General features: G+C 61.5%; 2 protein-coding genes across 12 annotated transcripts in view, besides 9 other annotated features; one reads left to right on the top strand and one right to left on the bottom strand.

Annotated features, from left to right (window-relative positions):
• Nucleotides 1–24,034, bottom strand: part of DOK7 (docking protein 7) — a 38,177-nt gene that overhangs the window by 10,359 nt on the left and 3,784 nt on the right. For 3 of the 10 annotated variants that reach the window (NM_001301071.2, XM_011513435.3, NM_173660.5), the window contains exons 3-6: nt 17,488–17,718; nt 14,582–14,782; nt 5,466–5,585; nt 1,328–1,447 (exon numbers count right to left, since the gene is read on the bottom strand). In NM_001301071.2, the coding sequence (NP_001288000.1) occupies nt 1,328–1,447; nt 5,466–5,585; nt 14,582–14,782; nt 17,488–17,718 (672 nt within the window). Of the gene's footprint in view, nt 1–1,327; nt 1,448–5,465; nt 5,586–5,782; nt 5,816–5,963; nt 6,596–14,581; nt 14,783–17,487; nt 17,719–24,034 lie in introns of those variants that run through there. The other 7 variants (XM_047450080.1, XM_047450081.1, NM_001164673.2 and 4 more) reach the window with 6 other exon arrangements.
• Nucleotides 1,303–1,412: a silencer, noted in NCBI's record as "silent region_15206". NCBI's record gives its function as "represses an Ori minimal core promoter by ATAC-STARR-seq in GM12878 lymphoblastoid cells {active_cell/tissue: GM12878}" and the evidence as "EXISTENCE:reporter gene assay evidence [ECO:0000049][PMID:35858748]".
• Nucleotides 4,569–5,535: an enhancer, noted in NCBI's record as "H3K27ac-H3K4me1 hESC enhancer chr4:3487316-3488282 (GRCh37/hg19 assembly coordinates)". NCBI's record gives its function as "activates a minimal SCP1, AML or CMV promoter by ChIP-STARR-seq in naive H9 embryonic stem cells {active_cell/tissue: H9 hESC(naive)}" and the evidence as "EXISTENCE:reporter gene assay evidence [ECO:0000049][PMID:30033119]".
• Nucleotides 5,537–6,736: an enhancer, noted in NCBI's record as "CDK7 strongly-dependent group 2 enhancer chr4:3486115-3487314 (GRCh37/hg19 assembly coordinates)". NCBI's record gives its function as "activates an origin of replication core promoter dependent on BRD2, BRD4, P300/CBP, MED14 and CDK7 cofactors, with strong dependence on CDK7, by STARR-seq in HCT116 cells {active_cell/tissue: HCT116}" and the evidence as "EXISTENCE:reporter gene assay evidence [ECO:0000049][PMID:35650434]".
• On the top strand, nt 6,287–16,184 carry LOC105374355 (vegetative cell wall protein gp1-like). 2 transcript variants are annotated; one of them, XR_007057994.1, is made up of 3 exons: nt 6,287–6,679; nt 14,352–14,823; nt 15,366–16,184. XR_007057994.1 is itself a non-coding variant. In XM_047416482.1 (3 exons), the coding sequence occupies exon 1, from the start codon at nt 7,674–7,676 to the stop codon at nt 8,706–8,708; it is 1,035 nt and encodes a 344-aa protein (XP_047272438.1). In that variant the 5' UTR covers nt 7,217–7,673; the 3' UTR covers nt 8,709–14,823; nt 15,366–15,509; nt 15,639–16,184. The 2 variants fall into 2 exon arrangements, 1 of the variants encoding a protein (XP_047272438.1); XM_047416482.1 differs by lacking the exon at nt 6,287–6,679 and having other exon boundaries at nt 7,217–14,823; nt 15,366–15,509; nt 15,639–16,184.
• Nucleotides 8,439–9,405: an enhancer, noted in NCBI's record as "H3K4me1 hESC enhancer chr4:3483446-3484412 (GRCh37/hg19 assembly coordinates)". NCBI's record gives its function as "activates a minimal SCP1, AML or CMV promoter by ChIP-STARR-seq in naive H9 embryonic stem cells {active_cell/tissue: H9 hESC(naive)}" and the evidence as "EXISTENCE:reporter gene assay evidence [ECO:0000049][PMID:30033119]".
• Nucleotides 9,406–10,373: an enhancer, noted in NCBI's record as "NANOG-H3K4me1 hESC enhancer chr4:3482478-3483445 (GRCh37/hg19 assembly coordinates)". NCBI's record gives its function as "activates a minimal SCP1, AML or CMV promoter by ChIP-STARR-seq in primed H9 embryonic stem cells {active_cell/tissue: H9 hESC(primed)}" and the evidence as "EXISTENCE:reporter gene assay evidence [ECO:0000049][PMID:30033119]".
• Nucleotides 10,593–11,184: an enhancer, noted in NCBI's record as "H3K4me1 hESC enhancer chr4:3481667-3482258 (GRCh37/hg19 assembly coordinates)". NCBI's record gives its function as "activates a minimal SCP1, AML or CMV promoter by ChIP-STARR-seq in naive H9 embryonic stem cells {active_cell/tissue: H9 hESC(naive)}" and the evidence as "EXISTENCE:reporter gene assay evidence [ECO:0000049][PMID:30033119]".
• Nucleotides 16,294–16,487: a silencer, noted in NCBI's record as "fragment chr4:3476364-3476557 (GRCh37/hg19 assembly coordinates)". NCBI's record gives its function as "represses an EF-1alpha promoter that drives an FKBP-Casp9 reporter gene in an ReSE screen in K562 erythroleukemia cells {active_cell/tissue: K562}" and the evidence as "EXISTENCE:reporter gene assay evidence [ECO:0000049][PMID:32094911]".
• Nucleotides 17,197–17,908: an enhancer, noted in NCBI's record as "H3K27ac-H3K4me1 hESC enhancer chr4:3474943-3475654 (GRCh37/hg19 assembly coordinates)". NCBI's record gives its function as "activates a minimal SCP1, AML or CMV promoter by ChIP-STARR-seq in naive H9 embryonic stem cells {active_cell/tissue: H9 hESC(naive)}" and the evidence as "EXISTENCE:reporter gene assay evidence [ECO:0000049][PMID:30033119]".
• Nucleotides 22,839–23,446: an enhancer, noted in NCBI's record as "H3K4me1 hESC enhancer chr4:3469405-3470012 (GRCh37/hg19 assembly coordinates)". NCBI's record gives its function as "activates a minimal SCP1, AML or CMV promoter by ChIP-STARR-seq in primed H9 embryonic stem cells {active_cell/tissue: H9 hESC(primed)}" and the evidence as "EXISTENCE:reporter gene assay evidence [ECO:0000049][PMID:30033119]".

The following is a 24,034-nucleotide window of genomic DNA, read 5'->3' as shown; positions in this document are numbered from 1 at the left end:
GAACGAGCAGGGGGAGAGGGAAGGAATTAATGAGCAGGAGTGGGGAGAAGGAAGGAATGAGCCGGGGGAAAAGAAAGGAAGGAATGGGGGGGAAGGAAGGAATGAATGAGCAGGAAGAAGAAGGAAGGAATGAATGAGCAGGAGGGAAATGAAGAAATGAGCAGGGGGAGAAGGAATGAATGAGCAGGGGAAGAAGGAAGGAATGAATGAGCAGAGGAGAGAAGGAAGAAATTAATGAGCAGGAGGGTAATGAAGGAATGAAATGAGTGGGGGGGAAGGAAGGAATGAATGGGGGGAAGGCAGGAATGAATGAGCGGGGGGGCAGAGGAAGGAATGAATGAGCCGGGGGAGAAGGAAAGAAGGAATGAGCAGGAGGAAGAAGGAAGGAAGGAATGAGTGGGGGGAAATGAAGGAATGCATGAGGGGGGAAGGAAGGAAGGAATGCGGGGAAGGGAGGAATGAATGAGCAGGAGGGAAATGAACGAGCAGGCGGAGAGGGAAGGAATGAACGAGCAGGGAGAGAAGAAATGAAGGAATGAGCAGAGAGAGAAGGAAAAAACGAATGAGCAGGGGGAGAAGGAAGGAACGAATGAGCGGGGGGGTGAAGGAAAGAATGAGCAGGGGGAAAAGGAAGGAATGAATGAGCAGAGGGAGAAGAAAGGAATGAATGAGCAGGAGAGAAATGAAGGAATGAATGAGCGGGGCGGTGGGGGGGGTGAAAGAAGGACTGAATGAGCAGGGGGTGGGGGGAAGGAAGGAATGAATGAGTGTGGGGAAAAGGAAGGAATGAATGGAGGTAAGGCAAGAATGAGCCGGGGGGGCGGAGGAAGAAATGAATGAGCAAGGTGGGGAAGGAAGGAATGAATGAGCAGGGAGAAAAGGAAGGAATGAATGAGGGGGTGAAGACAGGAATGAATGAGGGGGGAAGGAATGAGTGGGGGGGGCGGAGGAAGAAATGAATGAGCAGGGTGGGGAAGGAAGGAATGAATGAGCAGGGAGAAAAGGAATGAATGGGGGTGAAGAAAGGAATGAATGAGGGGGTGAAGAAAGGAATGGGGGGAGGAAGGAATTAATGAGTAGGAGGAAGAAGGAAGGAATGAATGAGCAGGAGGAGAAGGAAGGAATGAGCAGGGTGGTGGGGAAGGAAGGATGAATGAGTAGCGGGCGGGGCGGGGAGTTGGGGGAAGAATGAATGAGCAGGAGACAGAAGGAATGAATGAATGAGCAGAGGGAGCCTGCAGCCCCCACACATGCATGGATGCCTCCTGAGCTCTCCTGCTGGAGGCTTAGCCGAGGTCCCACAGCCCAGGTCAGCCCCCGGCCCTACCTCCACTGCCCGGCCTGCCCGCATGTGAGAGGAGGCTCAGCCGCTTCTCCAGCTGTAGGGTTTCCAGGGCTTCCTGGGCCACACGCTCCTCCACAGTCGAGGGTCCCGGGGGACTTGGGTCTGTGGCAGAGAGAAGACTCGGTGGAGGAGGTGGCCACCACCGCCCACCCTCGCCCGCAGGCACCAGGCCCAGCCTGACTCAGTGGTTATCCCCCTCTGTGGAGTGGCAGTCCCCTGGGAGTCCCCGCTCCTCCCGATGCCTCATCCCAGAGGCTGGCCCTCAAACGCAGACACCCACACCACCCCTATCCAGGCCACCATGCGCCCAGCTGGGTCCCTGTGCCCGTGGATGGCCCTGCCACCTGCCCACTCACCAGGACCCCACGCCGGCCAGACCCCTCCTTCCTCATCTTCCTCACCACCGAGTTTTTCAATTTTCTGTTCCAAAAAATGACCAGCCCCTCCCCCATCCCCAGGGCCGGCCTCGCTGCAAGAGGGGCTGCCTGCCCCTCATTCACGGTGCCCATTTCTCACAGGCTCCCCTCCACCTGGGGAAATGCCCGCCCACCTTGCAGTGTCCCCACCGTTCCCTGGGGTCTCGGATGGAGACTCATACTGTGCCCAAGGCTCAGAGCATGGTGGTCTGCGGACCCTCGGCCCCACCTAGCCCCTCCCCTCAGGGCTGCATCCAGGGAGCACCAGCCTCGCCTTCTCTATTCATCGTCCATGTGTCCTCTGCGACTGAGTGGCAGGAAACCTCCCCTTCCTGCCCAGGCAGGGTGGGACCTCTCACTGGCCCCTCAGCACCGCTGCTGCGAGCCTCAGCATCACTGCCCTGGTCCCCAAGCCCCCGCCCATGCTGGGATGTCCCAGGCACTAAGTGATGTGAACACTGGGCCAAGTGGCTACCTTGCTCCAAACAGCAGGGCTCAAGACCCTGCCCCTTCCACATCCACAGCACCCACGGCCACAGCCATCCCAAAGAGTTTCCCTGGCAGGGAAGCCACAGCCACACCCGCAAGAGCAAACCGACCCCGTCCTGCTCCAAGTGGCCTCCTCTGGGCCTCCAGAACACACCTCCTGACACCCACCTTGGGGGCACCTGCAGGACTGAGCCGAAACAGGTCCAAGGACCTGCTCTCCCCAAAGTCCAGGAGCAGTGGCAGCATGAAAAGTTTACACCAAATTCTGCAGCGCACAGAGGACCAGAAGGTACAGTCCCCAGCCTGGGACACCTAGATCAGAGCCTCAGCGGACAGAACCCAGCCTGGCGGAGGCTGGAGCCAGACGTCCCGACCCCATGGTCAGCGCTCCGGAGAAACAAACAGAGAAAGCAATGGTGTCCCTGTCCAGGTTCACATCTAGGCTGAAGAGGCCCTGTCCCTGATAGGACACTGTCCTCTGCTGATGCCTTCAGCCCACACAGGTGCCCAGCTGGGGCCCTTGCTCACTACAGGAGACCCCATCAGGACCTCAGAACAGGGCCCTCCCCACGGGCAGGTGAGAGCTCACAGCACCGGGCCCAGGAACACAAGAAGGGCCTGGAGGAGCCTCCCCCACCTCTGGGTATGGCCACCCCAAGGCACTGCCCCGGTCAGCCTGGGGCCCTGCCAGCCCAAGACCCTGTGGCCCTGTCTGTAGCATTGCCGGGGACAGGGATGGGGGTGGCACAAGCCTCTCTCCTGTCCCCTCCCTGCCTGTGCCTGGGAGGGTGGAAGGCGATGGCAGCCAAGGCTGTGCCAGCTCAGGCATCAGTCCCTCCCGACACGGCCTGCTGGTGGCCATGGAGCCCACAGGCCACACGGCTTAGCAGCTCCTGGCACTTTCACAGACACATTCAGCCACGTGGGCAGGACAGCAGGCACCAGTCCTGGCTCCTTGGTGCACTGAGGGTCCAGGCTGAAGACAAGCACAGTGACAGGACAGCACAACTGCCCCTCAGCCCTGGGACATTCCGACCAGGGCCACCCTCAAAGCCAATGCCCCACAGGTGGGACGGAGAGTGGCCCCTCGGTGACACCAGGGTCAGGATGCAGGACACAACCTCCCACCATTTCCCGTCCAGTAACTGGTGGGCCAGCAAGACACGGATCGACTCCCAGCTCCACCACACGCCCCCTGAGCCTCTCACCCTCGTCTGCAAAATGGGGTGCAGCAACGGTGCACCCCCGTGGAGGCCAGGCCAAGAAGGTAACATGCACGCCATACTCGGAGCATGGTGGACCCCAGACCTCTGAGCCCTTCCCTCCTGCTCCTGGTGGGTCTGGCTGCCTCTGGGACTCGGTGTCCACATGCGGAAGACCAAGGGGCTGGACTTCCTGCATCTCTTGGCCCCTCCAGTGGGTCACAGCGGGCTCAGCACAGGAGGACGGCAGAAAGCCCAGAGCTTGAGGATGCCGCCCGCAGGGCTCTATTGTGGGAGTCCTGTGATCACGGGGCTCCAGTGTGCTGCCAGCACAGGCAGACGAACCCATCAGCCCAGACCCTCCAGTAAGTCCAGCCTGCGGGGGCTGGGCCCACGGCTTCTCTGGTGGGGTGCTGCCCAGCATAGTGTCCCAGCTCAACCCACCTCCGGGTGGCCTGAGGCCCCCACACACCTGCAGAGGCACAGCTTGGGGGCACAGCTGCAGGCCGAGGCCCTGACAACAGAGCTTTCTGAGAGCTCCCAGCTGACTCTGACAAAGATGTCCTGTGGAGTGGGGTCTGGGACTTCTGGTCAGCCCAACCCCCTCCAGCTGTCAGCAATGGCCCCGCCTGGGGCTGGCCCACGTGCTGCCTGCGGTGGAGCCTGTCCCATCTAGTGGCTGTCCCAGGCAAACCCTCCCTGGCATCCTCTGCCCAGTACTGCTTCCCTGCTTCCCTCTGCTCCCCGGGAACTGCCTGAGGGGAGCAGGAGAGAGCAGGGAGCCCTGCTCAGCCTCCTGCTGCCCCTGCCCGGCCCTGTCCCCGCCCTGCACTCTGCACACCCTCGCCTTGCACAGCCAAACACACCGACCACATCATCCACGCTGACCACACCATCCACACCTGCCTGCAGCCGCTAGGCAGGAAGACACCTGCAGGGGTGCATCCACTAGGCAGGAAGACACCTGCAGGGGTGCATCCACTAGGCAGGAAGACACCTACAGGGGTGCAGCTGCACCATCCAGCATGGCAGGGCAGCGGGGAGGGCGCTGGCCATAGGTGCCACCTCCCCACTCCCAGGGCTGCCCCCAACGGGACTTTGCTGGTGTGGGCAGGGGGCATTGGGGGCTGTGGCCAGGAGAAGGGAGGCCCAGGTCCCACCCCACATGCTGCTCGCCTCTGCCCTCCCAGTCACCCTTCCCCGCCACACCACGGCGGGGGTGCCAGTGCCAGGAGGCGCCACATGTGAGCTTGCTGCTCACCCGCCACATGGCCTAGGCCTTGGCCTCACTTGGACGTTGGGTCAAGCGCTGCCCTCGTGGAGCAAGAGGAGCATTTGAGAGAGCCCATGGAGGCACCTGGCCCAGCACCCGCCCCGACCTGGGGAGCCCCACCGTGCCCAGGCACCAGAGCCCCTCTGGGGTCCAGCAACATCCCTGGCCAAGGACTCCTGCAGAGAGTGCCGCAGCCACAGCCAAGGAAGTGTGGGTGAGACAAGACGAGACCCCCTCAGCCCAACGTGTCCTGAGACCCCACAGCCAGGGGACCTCCCGAGGTGGCCTTGGGCCTAAACACCGGGCTCAGGCAGAGCCAGTCCCGACCCCAGCTGCAGAGTCAGACCAGCTGCCCCCGGGCCACCGAGCTCGGGCAAGGCCTTCCCTGCTCCTGGGCGTGGAAGATGGTGGTGGTGGGTCAGAGGGTCTCTTACTGCACAGTGGCAGCTGTGGCTGACTGTCCCAGCCAGAAAGCTCTAGGGCCAAGCGTTCCAACAGCTCGGACCCCCGAGGGAGAGCACCTGCAGGTACGAGCCCAGCCCCCGCTGCTCTGAATCCCTCAGCAGGGCTTGCAGAAGCCCAGGCTGCAATCCTGGCCTGGAAAGGTTCTGGTTCCTTAGCTGGGGGTGGGGAGGCTGGCCATCTAACTGGGGCTGACAAATCACTGTGGCCCCCCGCCCCGGGACGTCGCACAGCCTGCCGAGCGCACCCTCCCCGGCCGGCCAGGCTCCCACACGCACCTGGTAGAACCGGCCGCAGCCCAAAGGGGCCCTTGGTGGGGGAGATGCCTCGGACGATGCAGTCGAACAGGAAGCTGATCTGCTCCCCCTCGGCCGAGGACAGGAAGAAGACGCCAGCCCCTGCAGAGGAAGGACAGAGACAGGTCAGTCTGGCCCGAGGGCGGGCTGGGGACCCTGAAGAGGAGGAACACAGGAAACCGCAGCAAACTCCACCAAGAGCCGACAATGACACCCTGCCTGGCCCCACGAAGTCAGATGCCCAGAGCCGACACCCCGCCTGGCCCCGTGAATCCGGGTGCCCAGAGCCGACACCCCACCTGGCTCTGTGAAGCTGGGTCCCCAGAGCCTCTGGACTCCCCAGGGACCCCGCCGCACCCTTCAAACTTGGGCGCTGGGGTGAGTGCTGCCCCGCCCATCCTAGGTCCTGCAGCCGACAGGGCATGGGGAGGAGGGAGGGGGTGCCCTGCCCTGGACAGATGGGTGCCCCCGCCCACATACCTGCCTTCCGGGCTTGCTTGGGGGGATGGGGGGATGTGGCTGCTCTGCCACCCAGCAGGCACTTGATCAGTCCCTCCTCTGCCCCAAGGTCCCAGCGACCCTGCCCCCACAGCCGTCTTGAGGGCAAATGAAGCAGCCAGGAGACCCCAGAGACATCAAGTAGGGTCCCCTCAGGGCTCCAAGGCCACAGGAGAAGGGAGCTGTGCCACCTGGAGCTGGGGTCACATCCCAGGAAGGCTGCCATGTGACCACACTTCCTTCCCCCGGGCTGTTGGGAGGGCTGCATTCAGATGTTTGTAAAAGGTGTGGCACGGCACCTGCCCACACATGCTGCAGCCGTCACTGCTGGCCAGCACCGCGTCCTCCCCACCTCCTCGGTCATCTTTCAGGGGAAGCTGGAGCTGCCAGTGTGTGGGTGCTGCCCTGAGGCCGTGTGCAGCATCCTGGGGCCAGCATCCACCCCTGCACCCCCACAGCAGCAGGAGGGCCCCCAGGGACCAGCCCAGCGTCACTGGCAGAGCGATGCAGCCGCCACCCGTGGAGAAGCCCCAGCTGCGAGTCACGGGGGCGCTGCCCTCCCGGCCAGGGGTGAATGAAGCCCTGGCGGCCGCGTGAATGGGCCACTGGGCTGGCTGCACCCGGCTGGACACTCCGGCTGGCGTCACCTCACAGGAATCCCGCCCGCTCCGGGGCCTCTGCCCATTGCCCAAAGAAAGGTACGCAGGAGGGAAGGCGCCGGGGTGGGCAGGAGTTGGGGGGAAGGGAAATCTCGGCATTAGAACCCCCGCTGCCTGCTGCCCAGTCATGCTCTGCCTTCACGGAACACAGGCTGTAGATTCCAGGGACACGGAACTCAGGCCAGCCCCGACACGTGGCGACGCTGCCGGCCCCTTGGCAGCCACCCCGGGCACACGAGGGCGAGCGGCACCTTGTGCTGTGGATGCTTCCTTCCACGTAGTGTCCCCAAACCGGGTCATGGGACAGCGCCATTCCTACTTTAGCAAAAAGGACACTGAGGCCCAGAGAAGGCACGCCACCTGTCCACCATCACACAGCCACGAGGTGGACTCAAGTCCAAGTCCCCTGGCCCCCTGTGCACCTTCTGGCCCGATAGAGCTTCCAGTCCTACTGTGGGTGAGGGGTGCTCCTGATCAGAATTGGAGGTGGGCATGGAGGGGAGGCCAATGCCCGCTGCGATGCCATCCAGGAGGATGCCCCGAGAGGCTCATGAGGGCCGTGATGGGGTGGGGCCCCCAAGCTGGGTAGGGTGGGCAGAAGAGAGCCTGCACCAGGCCCTGGGGGCAGGCAAGGAGAAGGCCGTCATGCTGTCTGCTGGCTGGCTCACTCAGTGCCAGGCAGTCGCTCCCTGTCCCCGTGGTCCACCCCTCCCTGTGAAGGGCTCAGCCGGCACAGCCCCAGCTCTCACGAAAGGCCAGGCTCTCTAATCCTGAGCTTACAGACAGCTGGCAGTGGCCACGGGACAATGAGTCCCCCGACTATAAAAAACCACATTACGGAAGGAGTGGAGCCGGCCCCGCATTCCATGCGGCGTCTGCGGAGCGTCACTCACCCCGAAGACACGGTCAACCGGGCAAGGCCTGGAGCACAGCCCACCGCCAGCCTCGGGCTCCCACGTGCCCACGCGACACCCTCGCCAGCCACCCCCATCATCCATGCCAGCAGAGCTGACATCAGTGGCCCTGGAGGAAGATGCCCATCTCCAATGCTGGTCTGCCAAGGTCTTGGGCCATGGCCTCCCAGGACACCGCACGACTAGGCTCTCGCTGGGCCTCCCTGGGTTCATGCTCCACCCCCGCTCCCACCCAGCCCCCCCCGGTCTTGGGAATGCTCAAAGCTCCCTCTGCACACCAGGTCTGCCTGCCATCTCCACTCAGGAGGCTGCCGTCCCCACCCTCCACACCCCTACATCTCCACTCAGGAGGCTGCCGTCCCCACCCTCCACACCCCTACATCTCCACTCAGGAGGCTGCCGTCCCCACCCTCCACACCCCTACATCTCCACTCAGGAGGCTGCCGTCCCCACCCTCCACACCCCTACATCTCCACTCAGGAGGCTGCCACCCCCACCCTCCACACCCCTGGCCACCTAGAACACCCCAGACCTTTCCAGACTCAGGCCACATAACGACACCTTTCATGATGCTTTTCTTGGCCTCTGGCCCCCTTCAGTCCCCTGACCCCGACAGCCCCTCTGTGGTGCTCTCACGGACGCCTCCTCTGGGGTTCAGCCCCACCTGCTGCCGTCCCGGCTGCCAGGCTGAGCACCTTGCCGGCAGGGAGCACAAGCCGTCTGTGGTCTCAGTGTCCACCCAAGCGCCCATAACCAGGAGACCCCCAGTGCTCGGCCTTGGGTGGAAAGACATAGGTGAGAGGCTGCTGACCGCCCCCCTGCCCCTTCCCCAAGACAGGGTGCGCATGTTTCCTGTTTGCCTGTGTGTTTGGGGAAAGGGGGGAGAACAGGGCCTGCCCCATTTTGCTATATCACACAGGTGTGACTGCAGCAAAGCCGGCCACTCTGTTTCCCCTATCCCTGCCCTCAGAGGCCGCTCCTTCTCCAGAGGCTGGTCCACTCCCTCCCTGGAATCGAAGCCAGCCAGTGATGGCTCTGGCATAAAGTGGCATGAGGGATGCTCTCCCAGCCCTGCCCCAAGACCGTCAGAGGCCTGGCAGCTTCTGCTCTCTTGGAACCTATTGAGAAGCCCAAGGTGTCCTATCGGAGGGTGAGGTTCCTGGAGGGAAACTGAGGCAACCCAGCCAACAGCCGGCACAGTGCTTTCCTGGGCCTTTGGGCCCCACCATAGCCAAATGCCACTGCCCGAGGGACCCCAGGCAGCACCTCATGGGGCAGAGATGAGCTGTCCTCACTGAGCCCCGTCCAGATCCCTGGCCCACAGAATTGCCAGCCAGGGAACAGCCGCCAGCCGCTAGGTGTGGCAGGGTAAATAGGAGTTAGCTCAGCTGTTAGAGGGTAAGCGGTGGAGGGGGGTGAAAAGGGCACGTCAGACATCTTTGAGCACAAACGGGTGTCCCAAAGGGCTGTATAGGAGCCCTGTTGTGGGGGATAGGAGGCGTGAGGGTAAGAGGAAAGAGCATGGAAGACGCAGAGAAGCAGGACAGAGTCAGCAGAACACAAGCAGAAGGCCAGGAGCTGCGGGGCTCAGGGCGGCGCCAACTCTGGACAGAGGCTGGGGTTGCTGAGCGGCAGGCAAACCTCACCCACGTTACAGACGCACCTGCTTCCTGAGAAACACGTCTCCAGTGAAAAAGCTGTTGCACTAACTCCAGGACTCACCGGCTTGAGAAAGAAAATGCTCCTCCACGCAGACATTTAATGAGCCAATTAGATCTAAGATGGTTTCCATCTGAATATTCTTGAGTGCCCTCGTGGCTGCCCCTTGATGTCAGAATCTTAAGTGCTCATAATCCCAGCTCCTCAGAGAACAAACATCGGGGTGACCAGGGTGTCCTGGATGGCTCATGCCAGGTAGGCATGGGCAGGACTGAGAAGTCTTGATAACATGACCCTCAGCCCTCTCCATCCCCCAAGGTGGCAGCTTCTTGTACACTTGGGAGTGGCCCCACCTAGTGGGTCTCGGGTGGAGGAAGGCCTGGAGCCTGGCAGTGGGTGTTGGCTCCCACCCCTCCTCTGCCCTCCTGAAGCAGCCCCAGTCCAGGGGCACCACTCTAGAAGGCCCCCCCTTCCCGGGCCGGCCCTCCTCCCCTTGTCCATCACCACCTTGTTAACATTCCTGCAATCCACAGGGTTCCCATCCCCCAACCAGGCAGCTGCTGCCTGGGGCAGCCTCGCCCTCCATCTTCTGGACCTCAATCAGAACCTTCTCTGGCCCCTGCCAGCCTCTTCCTCCAAGCTCATCTGCACCCCGGGGTCAACATTAGCATATAAAACACTCCCCATGCTCAAGCACCTTCAATGGCTCCCTGCTGCTCCGAGACAATGGTGCAAACAAACACTGGTCCAATTAGCCAGCTCTCTACAACCCAGCCCTGTCTCCTCCTCCTCCTCCACCCTCACGCCTCCTATCCCCCCCAACAGGGCTCCTACACAGCCCTTCGGGACACCCATTCGTGCTCAAAGATGTCTGAAGTGCCCTTTTCACCCCCCTCCACCCCTTACCCTCTGACAGCTGAGCTAACTCCTATTCACCCTGCAGAAGTCCCCTGAGGCTCGCCCCTCCAGAGAGCTTCCCCGCAGTGCCCCCAGCCTGGGGTCTGTGCCCCTCCTGGCTCCCCTCGCACCCTCTGAGGACTGAAAATGCCTCACTCAGTCTCACGCAGCCTCTGAGGCCGGACCGTCTGATCCCTAGGCCCAGCGCCCGGCAATGAGAAACTGCTGAAGGCGCTCCCTGCTGCCTGACAGAGGCCAGGGTTCCAGCCAGCTCTGTCCAGGCTGCCCCCGCAGGCTGCAGTGGCCAAAGGTGGCCGGCAGGGGGCTCTCCAGAGCTGGGCAGATGCCGCGTTCATGTAGCAAGAGCCTCCTAGTTCAGGTTTTCATTCTTTACTCTTCTTTTTTTGAGACAGAGCCTGGCTCTGTTGCCTTGGCTGGACTGCAATGGCGGGATCTCAGCTCACTGCAACCTCCAACTCCCAGGTTCAAGTGATTTTCCCACCTCAGCCTCTGGAGTAGCTGGGATTACAGGCACCTGCTACCACACCTGCCTAATTTTTGTATTTTTAGTAGAGATGGGGTTTCACCATGTTGACCAGGCTGATCTCGAACTCCTGACCTCAGGTGATCCTCCCACCTCCGCCTCCCAAAGTGCTGGGATTACAGACATGAGCCACTGTGCCTGGCCACATTCTTAATCATTTTTAAAAGTCAAAATGAGTTTCAAATGCTCCGGGCGGCCCCCAGAGGCTGGGCAAAGAGGCAGATATGGTCCTTGGACTGGACCCAGCTGGAGAGAGCAGGTAAGGGGGGAAAAAGGGGGCACCTCCAAAAGCTTCCATTCACCCTCAAGGCCCAGCTCAAACGTCCCCCTGCGCCTCCAAAGCCCTCCCTTCCTAGGCTCTGGGTGGGCTCACCCTCTCTGGGGCCCACCACCGTCTGTGCTGCAAGCTGAGCCTGTCCCAGGGCGAGTGGCCCTCTCTGCATCACTCTCCACCACGCACAGTCCATCCCCGAAGGCGGGGCCCAGTCACTTGCCCGTGTGTGAGGCTGGAGCCTGCAGACCTGAGCTGTCCACAGACCGTCGCCTGCCATGTGCCAAGTGCGCTCGGGCCAAGCTCCAGGAGTCCACACTACAGGCCCGTGACCAACAGAGACGGGGAATTGGGCCACACTGGGGACCCGGGGGTTGCTGTCACCAAGCCACCTCCTGTCCCATTCTGAACAGGCAGCTGTCCACAGAGAGACCTCTGCCCCCCAGGCACCAAGACCAGCCAGGCCTGTCTCCACCCGACCCCCACCAGGGCCCCCGTGATGCACAGCCACGCCCAGTGTCTCAGGATGAGTGAGGCGCAGCCATCGCCTTGGGCCAGGGTCACCCTCTCTGCTCTCTGCAGAGCTGGCTGTGGCGGGGCCAAGTGAGGCGGTTCTGGGGATCGGGGGCCAGGCTAGGACCTGTCCCTGGGGAAGGAGGGAATGTGGATTTCCTACACCCAAGAACTTCCAGGGCCTTCCCACGACTCCAGCCCAGCTGTGACCTCCAGACTGAATGTGACGACACCCACAGACTTATTGGGATTCAGATTCTGGATATTTCTCCGTCCCAGTGGCCCCAGTTGTCGGCCAAATGGTGGCCCACAAAATGTGTTCACATACCAGGGCCTGTGAACAGGAGCCTCTGCGGATGGAATTGATGGTCTCGGGATGGGGTCACCCTGGGTCATCCAGGTGGGCCCTAAGTCCACAGACTGCAAGAGACTGAAGAGGAGGCTCACGCAGGAGCCAGCAGGCGCAGGGACTGGAGTGGCACAGCCACGAGCCGAGGCCGCCGGGGCCACCAGCGGCTGGAAGGGGCAGGAAGGACCTTCCCATGGGTCCTCCCCAAGAGCTTTTGGAAAAAGCCAACCCTGAGGACCCCTTGATTTGGGGTTTCTGGCCTCCAGGCTGCAGAAGGAACCCGTTCTGGACACTTGGCCCTCTCTTGGGGGTCATCTGCTACAGAAGCCCCAGGAAGCTGATGCCGCTGCCCCTGGACCACCCGAGTTGCCGGCTCCCTCCCGCAGGAGGCCCCAGGCTGCCCACACGTGCCGCAGACTCCCCGTCCCTCCAGCCAGACGGCCTGCACTCAGTGCTGCGTTGAGAACACCACCGCTTGGCCGAGTCTAAGACCCAGCCTAAACCACCCAGGGTGGTGGCCACGCCTGTCTCCAGGAGGATACAGCCCAGCAGGGCCTGCTGGGGACAGGGATGGGTGGCTCGGCCAAGCCTTCCAGCCTGGCCTCCAGAACCCACCTACCCTACGGGGTGTGCAGCCGTCGGTGACCGAATTCCCAGAGCCCTTCCTCTCTCAGGCCAGGGTACCACCGGGGACGAGAACATTCAGCACTGAGCTGCAAAGGCGGGTTCTGTGGGGCCAGCCCCCGTTTGCGGGTTCTGTGGGGCCAGCCCAGTCTGCAGGTTTGTGGGTTCTGTGGGGCCAGCCCGGTTTGCAGGTTTTCAGGTTCTGTGGGGCCAGCCTGGTTTGCAGGTTTGCGGGTGGGGCTGCTCTAACAGCTTGCCCCGGAGAGGCAGCAGCAAGACAGACGGCCCCACAAGAGTGCCCCCAGCTTTTGAGCAGCCCAGGAAAACGGCACAGTAGCCTCGCCCTGGGGAGAAGCACAGCCCCAGGTGTGGGATTGTTTACCAGCGGAAAAGGGGCCACCCACACCTCGGCAGGGATGTGAACCTCCACGGCCTCAGAGGAAAAACATCCAGTGTCCCCATTCCATTATGGCCCAGACAAAATAAGCAGGTCTCCAAGGAAACGGGTCCTCCTGCTGTGCCCCGGCTTAGAGGGTGAGCACGCGGCGCCACCCCGGCCGGCTGCCTGCCCGTGCCAAGGAATTCCACAGACAGAAAGGAAGGTATGGGTCCCCCTCCTCCAGGCACCCCCAAACCTAGCACACAACAGACAGGACAGGCTGCCTGTGTCAGGACAACTACAGCCTGCAGCTCTGGCTTCCCACACGACAAAGGACAGGGACGCTGGGCCCACCCACTGTGCCCAGCCACCGCCAACCCACTCCCCAGTGGCTCCCGAAGCCCCAGTACTGAACCTCTGGCCTGCCGCAGGGAGGGCCTGGGGGCAGATGGGACCCCGACAGGTGTCCTAGCTCTCCCGGGAACCACCCCCCACCCCACCCCCCGCACCAGCTCACAGCTGGCATAGGCAGCGGCCCTGCCCATCCATACTGGCTCTCCAATCCCAGAGGGGCCAAGGCCCTTTGGACTCTGGCTATGGCCCCTGCCAGCCCCAGGGGCCGAGACTCCGGGCCAGCTCTGCCGCACGTGCCTCCTGCAGCTGGCTGTGTACGCCCCCAGTCCGTGGAGCCTGAGCCTCACTGCCCTGTTCCCCTTTCAAGGGTCAGATGTCGTCTCCTCAAAGGCCCCAACAGGGCTGGCTCCTGCCACAAGACCTACTGGGTTTGCTCCCAGCGCCCAGCGCAGAAGGTGGCAGAACGTGGCACCCAGATGGGCTTGCGCCCGTGCCCCAGCTGGCCTTTGCAGGATGAGGTCCCAGGCGGCCAGTGTGGCCCGTGTCCTTGCCTGCGTTTCCTCCACCCAGACACATCCAGGCTCCACCAGAGCCCCCACCAGTGTGAGCCAAGTGCAGTCCCTCAGTCCTCTCAGCCCCAAACCAGGCCCACAGGAGGTCCCTCTGCCCGCCTTCAGCCCGGCCAATGAGCAGCTGCCCCTCCAGAGAGAAGAGAGGAGGCGTCACACCCTCCGCGGGGACTGCAGGTCCACAGGGCAACCTGGCGCATCTGCACCCAACATGGGAGAAAGTGGAGGGGGTTGCTGGAACAACCTGCTCCTGCACAGCCCCGGCGGGCACCTCAGACTCTCTGGGCAGGGCTGGGTGCCTTCCTGCTCCGATTTCCCTCACTCCCCTGGCTGAGTGAGGACAGCTCTCAGGCCTTCACAGGCCCAGAGGACTCAGGCCATCCCCACCCACGGCCTGGCCACCTCACTGGGGACATTAGGGCAGCTCTGGGCGGCCCACAGGCGGGGTGGCTGGCATGTCCACCAGGAATTCTTGGTCCAAGAATATGTTTCTGCGGTGCTTATGCGGGAGCTCACACTCCCCACTGCTAAATGCGTTTGTTCTTTGTTTTTTCCTTTCCATGAAATCTGGATATGAGCGGCTCTGAGGCTCTGTGGCCTCAGGCCCCTCCTCGCATCCCTGAACTCTCTCCCTCCAGTGAGGAAGAGCAGAGGTAGCCGAGGCCCCTCCTCGACACTCCACACTGAGGTTCCTGCGGGCAGAGGACCTTGGACATCGAGCGTGGGGAGACTCCGTCCACCTGCCGGCGCATTCTGGAAATGCCAGCAGGCCAGCCTGCAAGTGGGGTCGGCCGGCCCGAAGCCAGCAGTTCTCAGGGGAAGTGGGGGGTGCTGCTGCTGCCCAGTGACCCCACACATCCGTACTTACAGTACCCACACCTGGTCCCGCCTTCAAAGATGAATCCGCTTGGCACGGCCCCGTAGCGCCGGAGGTCAGACAGCTTCCACTGCCCCGTGACAGCCGGGGGGATGTCCCTGGCCAAGACGAGGACATCATTGCAGAGGTGCAGGGTAGCCGGGCCGCTCTCCAACTTGGTGCCTGGAGCCACTGTCACATGGAACCTATGCACTGCGGGCAGGCGGGGCAAGAGGGCATCACGGGCGGGCAGGGTGAGAGGACATCACGGGCGGGTGGGGTGAGAGGGCATCACGGGCGGGTGGGGTGAGAGGGCATCACGGGCAGGCGGGGCGAGAGGGCATCATGGGCGGGTGAGGTGAGAGGGCATCGAGGGTGGGCGGGGCGAGAGGGCATCACGGTCAGGCGGGGCGAGAGGGCATCATGAGAGGAGGCAACAGGGGCCACTGTGGACAGGTGGGGTGAGAGGGCATCTCGGGAGGAGGCAGCAGGGGCAGGGGCCAGGCTGGGGCAGGTGGGGGCAGCCGCCCAGGTGTCAGCCGGGGAGGCAGCGACGGCAGGATGAGCAAATGGCACTCCTCACAGCCACGAGGGGGCCTGGGGGCTGCACTTCTCTCCTTGCCATCCTCCCAGGAACTATCTTTGTTCAGGGGCAAGGAAGTCCCAGAGGGGCCTGACCTCGGACCTCCACCTCCCTCCCCTCCCACCACGGAGGTGCTAGGGAGGACAGGGCAGCTGAGTGCCCTGGCTGGGCTCCCACCCCCGGCACCTCTCCAGGAAGGCTCTCTCTCCACAGCTGTGTGGCTCCATCACAGAAGGGGAAACCGAGGCTCAGGGATCCCCCAGCCTCCAGTTCGGGTGTGGAGAGTCTGGAGTCTGTATCGAGGCCCCAGCCTGGCCACGGGAACCTCAGGGCACCACCGGCCCTCTCTCCATCCAGGTGGCCATTCACCCAAACCCTGAGCACCCCCATGGTCCTGTGCACTGGCTCTGCCCAGGCCCCTGCCCCTGAAAGCCTCAGAGAGGACAGTGGTCCTGAATGCTGTCCCCACCTCCCCTGTCTTCCCAGGTCAGCACACCAGGCAGACAGCAGCCTCCCCACCAGGGGCCCCACCTGCTCCATCTCCAACCCCCAGAGCCAAAGGGACCCCTGTTCCCATCCCACCTCCCCCTTCTCTGCCTCCTCTACCTGCTCCAAGCTGTGGCCTCAGGCGCATCCTTGTCAGGCCACGTTCTATCAAGATGAAGCTGCCTGGGCGGTGCCCAGCGGCCTCTGTGCCATGGCCCTGCGCCAGCGGATGAAGGAAGCAGACCCATGCCGCTGAGCCAGGCTGGAGGGAACCCCCAACGGGAGAACTTTCTGGAAAGATGCAGTTCTTCCCTCCTAATGTCTCCTTCCCCTGCGCCCTCCTGCAGAGCCAACCGCACCTCCTCCCACTAAGCCCCCAGCTTCTCTCTCCCCACTCAATGGAGCAGGAGGGGCTGCTGCCTTGGGGACAAGACTGGGGGAGCGGGACACTCACCTCCAAGGCCAAAGAACTCAGCCATCAAGGGCCAGGATATTTTAATCAATATTTTAAAAAGTAAAGTTATGCAGAGTCCATGCTGATCAAAATAGCAAGTTTTTTTGTGTTTGTTTTTTTGAGACAGGGTCTCACTCTGTCGCCCAGGCTAGAGGGCAGTGGCACAACCTCAGGTCACCGCAACCTCCACCTCCCAGCTCTTTTTTTTTTGAGATGGAGTCCTACTCTGTTGCCCAGGCTGGAGTGCAATGGCGCGATCTCAGCTCATTGCAACCTCTGCCTCCCAGGTTCAAGCGATTCTCCTGTCTCAGCCTCCTGAGTAGCTGGGATTACATGTGCCCACCACCACACCAGGCTAATTTTTCCATTTTTAGTAGAGATGGGGCTTCGCTATGTTGGCCAGGCTGGTCTCGAAGTCCTGACCTCAGGTGATCTGCCCGCCTTGGCCTCCCAAAGCACAAGGTTTACAGGCATGAGCCACTGCACCTGGCCATCATTTTTGTATTTTTAGTAGAGACGAGGTTTCGCCACGTTGCCCAGGGTGGTCTGGTCTCTATCTCCTGGGCTCAGGTGATCCACCCACCTCAGCCTCCCGAAGTACTGGAATTACAGGTATGAGCCACCGTGCCCAGCCTAAAATAGCAAGTTTTTAAAGGGAGGGCAGCTGTGGCTGCTGGGATTATTGGGTGGGTGCCAGGGTAGGACCAGGACTCAACTCAGTGGACATTCTACTGTTTTGCTCATTATGGGGTTTTGGCACTGATTTTGGTTTCTTAGGAGATGCAGGATTATGCTTGCTCTGCCGCTGAGTGCCCAGGGCCCCATCACCACCCACCTCTGCTCACAGCCCCAGGGCAGCTCAGCCCCCAGAGGCCCCCAGGCACCCATTCGAAGCCCCTGCAGGGCTGGGACTGACGTTCCACCTCTTCCAGGGCCAGTTCCACAGGGGAGCACTCCCTTCCCCTCCCTCTCCCCTCCCTCTATTCCCTCCCTCCCTCCCATCCTGTTTTGGGGGGAAGCTGGGGTGGGACCGCCCAGCCTGGGGCTCTCCTTCCTAGCCAGGCTCTGGGCTCCACTGTCCAGTGTAGGAAGCAAAGGGCAGGGCTTTGGGAAGCCACGTCCCTCCAAAGGCCACCAGCTTGGGTTAAAGGCTCCAGTTGTAACTAACGGTCAGGCTAGGGAGCTCTAAAGACACCATAGCCCAGCAGACTCCCCCTCCCAAACCCTCGTGGGCACCCCCAGGCTGGAGCTCAGTCCACCCTAAGGCACCCATGAATGTCCCATCTTCCTGCACGGTTCCCTGGAGCCGCTCCCACCTCTGCAGCCCACGTTGGTGAGGGGCCCCGGCACACCTGAACGGGGAGCCCCCGCCCGGCCCCGGCCCCCGTCACTCACCCTCGCCGAGCGCATAGCGGATCCGGGCATCCCACGCACACATGGCCTCGTGGCTGTCAAAGCCCAGCATGATGGCCTGGGACAGGCAGACAATGGCCAGCGTGTGGACCAGGCCCTCGTAGGGCAGGCCGGGCTCCAGCCCGCAGATGTCCTCTAGCGTCAGGCTGCTGCGCTCCCGCAGGCCCTTGATACGCTCCGACTTGTCCTTGTAGACCAGCATCAGCAGGCAGTCTGCAAGGAGCGTGGCCGTCAGGGACGCCAGCCAACACCGCCTGCCCGCACCCTTGGCGTCCCCGGGGAGGCCGTGACAGTGCAGAGACCCGGGCTGGGGTCATGACCTCAAGCCAGCCACTCAGCCATGCCAAGGCTTCGACTCCCGGCATACAAAATGGGGCGATCCCCTCCCCTTGCAAGACCCACAGGCTGCAAGAGCGGAAATGAACTCAGAATATTCATGTCTGTGCCCAGCCCCCGACGCTGGCTCCCATGACTGGGTTCTGGACCTTCACTGGCGGATTTGCCCTGTCCCAGGCCCTGGAGCCCCCTGGGCCACACTGAGGGCTGCAGGATCTGTGGTCACGGGCTTGGGGGCCCAGCGTGGGGCCTGCCCGGTGGCTGTGGCCTCCTGCCCTGGTTCTGCCAGTCCGCTCCTATCCTGCCGCCCTGCCAGCCACACCTGTGCCCACTCCCTGCTGCCTCGAGACCCACCGCCCCTCCTGGTTCCTTTAGTTCCCAGGTTGTGGCTGAGCTTCAGCCCCAGGGGGTAGGGGAGGTCGATGGGCCTTGGGTCCCATCCCCATCCACCCGGCCACTGCCCAGCACAGCAGGCCCTAGTCTCTTCCTCGGCTGCTGGGGACCTGCCTGCGTTCTGCCTCCCGGACCCTCCAGGGCAACTCGGGTCCCCGTCTCCACCCCCACCTTCCCATTTTCCAACGTCACTGTCACCACAGGCAACCGGCTGGTGCTGTCTACTCCACCAGGTGCAGCTCAAACCTGGCACAGCACAGTCCCTGTGTGGCCTTGGGCAAACCACCTGGCCCGGGGACACTCCTGTGAATGGCGGGGGCAGCAGGTCTGCCTGAGAGAGCAGAGAGGACGGCGCAGGAAGACTCCCGGCCCTCCCGGCATGGCTCCAGGCTTGATGACCAGGCCTCCTCCCACCTAGGCCCCGGCAGCTGGGCTCCAGGATACCCGGCTTCGGCGAGGGTGTAGGTTTTGGGACCTCATACAAACACCCCAAATCCCTGTGAGCATGCAGGAGGGGATTGGGGAGAATGTCCCCGAAGAGGATTGCAGAATGACGTGTCATCTGAAGCTCTGAAAAGCAGGTGCTCACTCTTCACACAGGCCCTGCAAAGCCACGTGAGAACCAAAATCCCAAATGAATTTGACGCAGACACTCATTTTTGCAATGGAGTCCAGAGCAGACATGGTGCTCAGCTTCCCTCCCCAGCCGTGCCCACCTCCCCGGGCCACATGGCCACAGCCCGCAGAGCCAGGGGGTCTGTGTGACCACAGGGGCCAGCGGTCAGCAAGCTTCCTCTGCAAGGGGCCAGAGGGCAAGCATGCAGCTTTCAGGGCCACACAGGCTCTGCGGCCACTACTCAGCACCGCCACCCTTGCTGCGTGAAAGCAGCCTCAGACCCTGTGTAGACCCTTGGGCGCAGCTGCATGCCAGGAAGCTTGATTCACAAAAGCAAGGCGTGGTGTGGGCGCGGCGACAGTGCGTTCACTTCCCATTGGAGGATCTGTCCGCAGCGTCTGAAACGTTTACAGCTAGAAAAAAGCTAGGCATTCCCAATTTGAGAAAGAAGCCCCCTCATTCCCGCACCTACAGAACTCCGCCTGCCCAGCTGAGGCTTTCCAGACAATCTCCTGGCCCCCTCTGGAAACTCCAAGGCAGGAAGCAGGACGCCCGGCCCCAAGAGAGAAATCAAACACAGCGGCGTAATCGGAATTCGCCGTAACAGCAATGTCCCTCAAATGCGTCACCAGAGCACCCAAGAAATGACGGTGTGTGGGAACAGCATGAACACGGGTGGCTCCGCGCAGGACGGGGGCCCCAGGGCCGCTTGAGCCGGAGGACAGCCCGCAGTCTCCACCGTCTGCAGTTGAAGTGTGTTGTGAGATCGCTGCAGGGGCCCGGGCCACCTCTGCCTTGGGGGACCCTAAAAAGCTGAGCCACACCCATGTTGAAACTTCCACTGAGGATAATCACGCACCATACAGACCACCCCTTCACTCCCTTCCCCTAAGGGGCAAGGCCCCTGGGAATCCCTGCTCTGACCTCCCAGCTGTATGGCCTTGGGATCTTGGCCTCAGTTTCCTCATCTGTGACCTGGGGACAGTGGCACCCCCACCTGCAGCAATGCCGTAAGGACCATCTGCAGGAAGGTGTGGAGGCCCTGTGTGCAGTAAGCACTCAATACATGCTTGCATATTCAGGTACACATCTGTCTGCGTTACCAGCTATAAGGCCAGAGCGTCTTCCCTGCAATCTGGCTGCCCATGCACAGAGGGACCAGGTGACCCATGGCTCACCCTCAGTGCTCAGCAAGGGGCACACACTGGCCAACCATCCACCACCTTCCACCTCGAGGGCCTCAGCTTCCTCGGAGCCTTGGTGGGCTGATCACCCAGAAGTCAGGCAGGGACCTTTCCTCCCCTGTGGCTCTGCTCTGTGGTGGTGGCACCTTGGCCACACCCTGGCAGACAGCTCCGGCACCTGATAACAACCAGTTCCTTCCATTGCCCCCAACCAGCACCTCCTTTGTTCAACAAGTTACATTCCCAATAATACAGTCAGGACTGGGGTCAGGAGCTTGCCTGTAAAGAGCCCGACGTCACCCTTTTGGCTTGATTGAGCTTAAAGTCTCCTTTACCATACTTAGCTGGAAAGCAGCCACAGATGACACGTGTGGGAATGGCTGCGAGCCAATAAAACTTTATTTACAAAAACAGGTTCCGGCAGGATTTGGCCCAGAGACCACAGTGAGCCGACTCCTGGCCAAGAGTTGAATTTGCCACGACGGCTTCTCACACCTTCCACAAGCCAGCCGGCCCCACCCTAGACCTCTACCCCTGCAAGGCTGGTGGTGGGGCGCATGCTGAACCCACGCTCGACCCTCAGACCTCTTTCTGATTCACGGACGCCACCCCTCGGCCTGTCTGACTTTTCTGGACTCTGTCTACAAATGCAGACTCACATCCTGCACCTTGGGAACGCCTGAAAATCCAGGAGCACTTACAGGCAGGGGCTGAGCGTGGCCCCCAGCAAGACGTGTCCACTCCCGACCCCGGAACCTGTATGTCCTTATTTGGGAACAGGGTTTCTGCATATGTAATCGAGTTCAGGATCCTGGATTGTCTGAACGCAGCAGCAAGTGTCCTTGTAAGGGGGAGAACAGGAGGCGCAGACACAGGGAAGGTCACCTGAATGGGGACGGAGGCAGGGACTGGAGCGCTGAGGCCACAGCCAAGGGACACCTGTGTCTAACAGGAGCTGGGAGAGGCAGGAAGGAGCCCCTCTGGGAAGCCTGGAGGGAGCGTGGCCCTACGGGCCCCTCGACTGCAGAGCTCTAACTCCCAGGACTCAGTGGGTGAATTCTCATTGTTTGAAGGCCCAGCTGTGGTGCTTTCTTCTGTCGGCCACAGGAAACTGACGACCACCCAAACCACCGATTTCATTTTCAAACATGAACAGAAGCCGAGAGGTCAGAGCTGGGGGCCCGCTCGTCCCTCCTGCCTGGCAGAAGCTTCTCCGGCAGCTGACGCCCACCCCCTCACGCTCAGGCCGCCCTCTCCTCATCACCAACAATAAATCGATCCTGTTTTTAAAGTGCATCTCTCGGGGAGTGCCAGGGGGCAAAGCGCTGCAGGAACTGGTACCAGAGAGATGGAAGCTCCAGGCCCAGGGCTGAGACCAAGCCAGGTCAAGGCCGGGACACCAGAGCCCCAGGACGCAGCGGCTCTCCCTGGGACACAGCACGTGTGCCGGGTAGACACAGGTCTGGGGGACTCAGGAGTGGATGGCCACTGGCCAGCTCCCCGGGCGCCAGGCCCAGAGGGCCCCAGCCACACCCTCCCAGGAGGCCTGGGCACCTGGGAGTCTCTCACCCAGCGGCTGAGGAAGCACCATCGGCCCTGCTCACCCACCCTCCGGCTGGGGGTCTCTTGCCTGGCGGCTGAGGAACCACCATCAGCCCTGCCCACCCACCCTCTGGCTGCGGGCATTGGCTGCAACCTGGCCAGGGAAGGCTTTTGCAGAACTTGGAGGGTTCCCGGGGCTCTGGCAGGCAGCACTGGGCTGGGTGGAGGGCACCGGGTCGTGATGCTGAAAGGAGACAAACGAGGAAGAGGCACCAGGAGAGGCCAAGGCACAGAGACCATGTGGAACAAGCAGGCACACACGCACACTCACACAGAGGCACACACACTCATACATGCACACTCACACAGACGCACACACACACATGCACACTCATACACAGACACATACACGCACACACACAATGTGTGCACACATACATGCACGCACACACAGGCACACACATGTACACTCAGGCACACACACTAATGCACACACAGACATGCACACTCATACACATACACAGGCACACACACTCATACACGCACACTCACACATGCATACACAGGCACACGTACACTCATACAGGCACCACACTCACACGTGCACAAAAGCACGCACACTCATACACACATACACACACAGACATGCACACATACACAGGCACACTCGTACACAGGCATGCACACTCATACGCGCACACACATACACGCACACACACACTCCATGCATACACACACAGGCACACACAGACATACATGATCACAGGCACACATACATGCACACACACACGCACACAGACACATACACAGGCAGACATACAGGCACGCACACATACACACACATACACAGACATACATGCACACACAGGCATGCACACAGGCACACACACTCATACATGCACACACACAGGCATATACACACGCACACACAAAGGCACGCACACACCAATACACGCACACTCAGACAAGCACACACATTCATACATGCTCACACAGGCACACACACATACACTCACAGTCACACACACTCATACACGCACACACGCACATGCACACTCATACATGTACACAGAGGCACACATACATGCACACACAGGCACACACTCGTACATGTACATTCACACAGGCACACACACTGCTGCATGCCCATGCAGACACCGGCACACACTTGCACACACAGACACACGCACACAGACAAGCATTTGAGCTCACACACACTCGCACACACAGGTATTCACACGCATGTGCACACGTGCACACACACTCCCACAGGTATTCACATGCACGCGGACACACACTTGCACACATACACCCCCACACAGGTATTCACATGCACACACACACACTTGTGCACACACACCCCCACACACAGGTATTCACATGCACACACACACTTGCATACACACCTGCACACACAGGTATTCACATGCACACACACGTGGACACAGTCATGCACTTGCACTCATGCTTGTGCACACACAGAAGCGTGCACTCATGCACTCAGTGCTGGGGTCTGAATCTGAAATTCCAGTGTTGAAATCTTCACCCCCAAGGCGATGGGTTAGTGGTGGGGCCTTTGGGATGCGATGAGGTCATCAGGGTGGAGCCTCAAGAATGGGACCAGTACCTGATGAGGGGGCCCCAGGGCGCTTCCTCCCCCTACACCATATAAGGACAGAGAAAGCGCCACCTATGCAGCAGGACATGGTCCTCACGAGACACCCAGGACGCGGATCCTCACCAGACACCCAGGCTGCCTTGATCTTGGACCTCCAGCCCCCAGAACCGTGAGCAGTGACTGGCTGTCGTCTGAGCCGCCCAGGCTGTGGCATTCGCTAAGAGCCGCCTGAGCTAAGACAGCCACACAAGCCCACACTCACACATTCACTCTTACACACTCACCCAAATGCTCACACTTGCTCACACGTGCACACGCTCCCACGGTGTGTACAGGTGCACATGTACATCCTCACACACACACACGCACGTGCACACACGCTCCCCCTGCATTCACCTCCACAGCCACAGGGAAACGAGGAATCCAGGATGAGCCCTGGGACTTGGGTTGGGGAGGGATGTCTGGGGTGGGGGGGGGGGGTCTTCCCTGGACACGTGAGGCTGAGAAGCCCACCAGACACCGGGCGGCGATGCACACAGGCAGTTGGACGCAGGCTTCTGGAGATGTAAAAATAACTGTGGAGTCATGAGCACACGGAAGGCCTTACAGCCAGGGCGGAGAGCCGGGGAGGGCGGGAGGGAAGAAGGAGGAGGGGGAGAAGCCGCAGGGAAGATGGAGCAAGCAGGCATGGTGGCCCAGGGAAGGCAGGGGCATGTGTGGGCCGGGGACGCAGTGGGGGGGGTCCCCGCCCACACTGAACACGATGGGAGTCCGCAGAAGTGGCTGCGGGACAGCCTTTGGAGGTCACAGTGACCTTGAGGCTGTGCCCTTAGCAACGCA

This window comes from Homo sapiens, chromosome 4 (assembly GCF_000001405.40).
Source record: "Homo sapiens chromosome 4, GRCh38.p14 Primary Assembly".
NCBI classification, from domain to species: Eukaryota; Metazoa; Chordata; class Mammalia; order Primates; family Hominidae; genus Homo; species Homo sapiens.
This window is presented reverse-complemented; position numbering and strand designations above follow the sequence as displayed.